Source organism: Homo sapiens, chromosome 8 (genome assembly GCF_000001405.40).
Source record: "Homo sapiens chromosome 8, GRCh38.p14 Primary Assembly".
Lineage (NCBI taxonomy): Eukaryota > Metazoa > Chordata > Mammalia > Primates > Hominidae > Homo > Homo sapiens.
The window spans coordinates 30000733-30004373 of record NC_000008.11 but is presented as its reverse complement, the minus strand read 5'-3'; the positions used below and the strand labels follow the sequence as shown (position 1 = coordinate 30004373).

At 39.7% G+C, this 3641-nt stretch overlaps 1 annotated feature.

The window, feature by feature from the left end:
* Positions 3347-3641: a silencer, noted in NCBI's record as "tiled region #3682; K562 Repressive non-DNase unmatched - State 13:Ctcf". NCBI's record gives its function as "represses a minimal TATA promoter and a strong SV40 promoter by Sharpr-MPRA in K562 cells {active_cell/tissue: K562}" and the evidence as "EXISTENCE:reporter gene assay evidence [ECO:0000049][PMID:27701403]".

Below are 3641 nucleotides of genomic sequence, written 5' to 3'. Positions count from 1 at the left end.
TGCACTTGCCAGGATCTTAATGTTTTTTGTTGGCAAGTGGAAGCATATCCTTACATCCTGAACTATGACTATTTCACCAGGGGTTTATTTCTTTTGTAATATGTTCAGCAATTTTTGTTGTTGTTGAGATAGAGTCTTGCTCTGTCACCCAGGCTGGAGTGCAGTAGTGCGATCTCAGCTCACTGCAACCTCTGCTTCTCCTGTTCAAGTGAATCTCCTGCCTCATCCTCCTGAGTAGCTGAGATTACAGGCACACGCCACCAGGCCTGGCTAATTTTTGTAGTTTTAGTAGAGATGGGGTTTCACCATGTTGGCCAGGCTGGTCTCGAACTCCTGACCTCAAGTGATTCGCCTGCTTCAGTCTCCCAGAGTGCTGGGATTACAGGCATGAGCCACCATGCCCAGCCAATATGTTCATCATTAGAAAGGCTATTCAGGCCGGGAGCGGTGGCTCACGCCTGTAATCCCAGCACTTTGGGAGGCTTTGGGAGGCTGAGGCTGGCGGATCACGAGGTCAGGAGATTGAGACCATCCTGGCTAACACGGTGAAACCCCGTCTCTACTAAAAACACACAAAAAAATTAGCCGGGCATGGTGGCGGGCGCCTGTAGTCCCAGCTGCTGGGGAGGCTGAGGCAGGACAATGGCGTGAACCCGGGAGGCGGAGCTTGCAGTGAGCCGAGATCACGCCACTGCACTCCAGCCTGGGTGACAGAGCGAGACTCTGTCTCAAAAAAAAAAAATAAAAATAAAAATAAAAAAGAAAGGCTATTCATTAATTTTGTGAATGTTTCCATTTTTCCTTATGTTTCTACTCTCGAATTGATTTGCATACAAATTTCAGTGAGGAAATCATTTATGAGAAGATTAATATTATTTGTCAAGATTGATTTATTTGTCCCTGACTGGCCTGTTTTAACAACATACCCTTCTTTGTTCTGCCTTTGAATGGTTTGGCTGTTTCTGAAACATTCTCTGGGCTATATCTTTATCCTCATGTCATATATTTGGAGATATTCAGATAGTTGTGTCATTAATTTTGAATCGTATAGCCATGAGTATGGTGTGATTTCAAATCTGTTCTATGACTATTCCAGTGGCTTAAACCAAATCTTCAGTTAAAGACCAAAACCTGGCTAGGATTTTTATCTTTGTCACAAATCCTCAACTGGATGCTACAAACACTCTGTGGAAGCCCATTATAAAGCTGCTTTTTAGACAATCACTTTGTTCTAGCTACCGCTTGCCTGGTTTTGAGAACACTTCTGGGTCACCTGCTAAGTTGCTGAGACCACAGAAACTTCTCCTGAGTACAAGAGGAGGACTAAGCACAGGTCTACTTGACTCCAGATTTCTTAATCTCTAAGGTGAGTTGCCATAAAAAATTTTGAACCATAAGAACTTTACAGCAAAAGAAAAACTAACACTAACAATTTCATCAACATAAAGCACCTCAAACTTACTTCCGATCTATGTGATTAAACTATTGCTAAGAGGTGTGAATGTACAATTGCATGTTCTGATATTTTTATTAAGACTCTTATTCCGAGTTATTCATGTCAACATTACATTCACATCCTTGATATTCATATAATTCATCTAACATTGTGTAATTCATATAACGTGGTTTTACTGATAGGCCGTGATATTTCTTGTAATTCATTTGTTATTGTGTATTCATTATGTCTTATTTCCAATTAATAGGATTCTTGGCTTTAGCAACAAAAACCACAAAATGATCATTTGGCCTCAAGCCACAAGCTGAGAATTACTTAATGGCTTAGCTTTGAGTTGAGAAAGGGTCTTGTGGACCTGAGAACCTTTTTCCAAGCTGGATACATGTTAGTAAGCAGTTTAAAGGCAGCCTTAAAAAAATTAAAAACAAAACAACAAAACAAAGAATATACAAATAACAAATAGCATCTCTTACTTTAACACAAAGTGACCAAATATTATTTGTATTTATTATTTTACATTCCAACCTAGTGTTTGTACATATCCATACAATGTACACATTTTACAACTTGTAATTACACTGTACATGCAATTTACAACCTGCTTTTTTCATTTTACATGAAACCACAAATAGAGGCTTTAAAATCATTATTTTAAGTGGCCGAATAATATAACAGTAAGAAGCTATTGCAAATAAAGCTGTGGTCTACTTTCCTATTTGTATCATTTAAAAAATTCTGTTGCATTATTTCCTGGAATCAGGATCAAAAGGTAACACATTTCATGATACCTAAACATATTATAATGTTGCTTCCCAATATACAATGATGAGTTTAGCAAATATCAATATACAAAGTATGACCGGGCACAGTGGCTCACACCTGTAATCCCAGCCCTTTGGGAGGCCGAGGCAGGTGGATCACTTGGGGTCAGGAGTTCGAGACCAGTTTGGCTAACATGATAAAACCCTGACTCCACTAAAAATACAAAAATCAGCTGGGTGTGGTGGCAGGTGCCTGCAATCCCAACTATGCAGGAGGCTGAGGCAAGAGAATCGCTTGAACCTGGAAGGCAGAGGTTGTAGTGAGCCGAGATACTGCACTCCAGCTTGGGTGACAGAGCAAGACTCCATCTCAAAAGAAAAAATATATATATACACACACACACACGTACATGTATGTGTATATACATATATACACACATATATACATGTATGTGTATATACATATATACACGCACATATATGTATATATGTATATATACACGTATATGTATATACACACATATGTATATGTATATACACACATATATGTACATGTATGTGTGTATATACACACATACATGTATATATACACACAAAGTATGAGTTTATCCGTTTTTTAACAATTTTGATAGCACTAGATGTTACCATCAAAACATATTCTGGAGCTTGCATGCTGGCAGGGGCCTGTAGTCCCAGCTAATGGGGAGCCTGAGGCAGGAGGATTGCTTGAGCCCAGGAGTTGGAAGCTACAGTGTGCTATGACTGCACCTGTGAATAGCCACTGCACTCCAGCCTGGGCAACACAGAGCTCGCATCAGCAAAAAACAGTCAATCCCCCAAACCCTCCAAAACTAAAATAACGTTTTCTAGGGTTAGCTTAATAGTTGTAAAATAACCCTGCTGCATGATCAGACATGGATATTATTGCTATCGGATAGTGAATAAATGACCCATGGCTGCCTTAAACAATCTTGTATTCAGTTGGAATAATTTGTCAAAAGAACAGCTTGCCTTTCTGTGTGTGGCCTAGACTGGTAACGGTAATGCAAAAAAACATTAAGATGCTGTAAGATGAACAATCTACTGTTTAGCAATGAGTATCTTCGTATTATTTTTATTTGGCTTGTGGGGTTGTGGAGGGAGTTAAGGCCTCTGACTAAACACTAGAGGGTAGTCCTGGCTACCGAATAGCTCTGCCCTTTCTTCCCATTCATGTTTCCTTAGTATTGTCTTGGGGAAACTGGCCGTGACACCAATGCACGTGGCTTAATACATGCTGCTTGATTGACTTTTTGGCACGATAGTTTCAGGCGATCCGAAATGCAAAGGGATGTTCAGCCCTTGGAGACTCATGTTCCCTTTCCTTTTCTTCCAGTAATGCACTACTTGGGTATTTTCAGGAACAAAAACATCAAAAGAGTTTT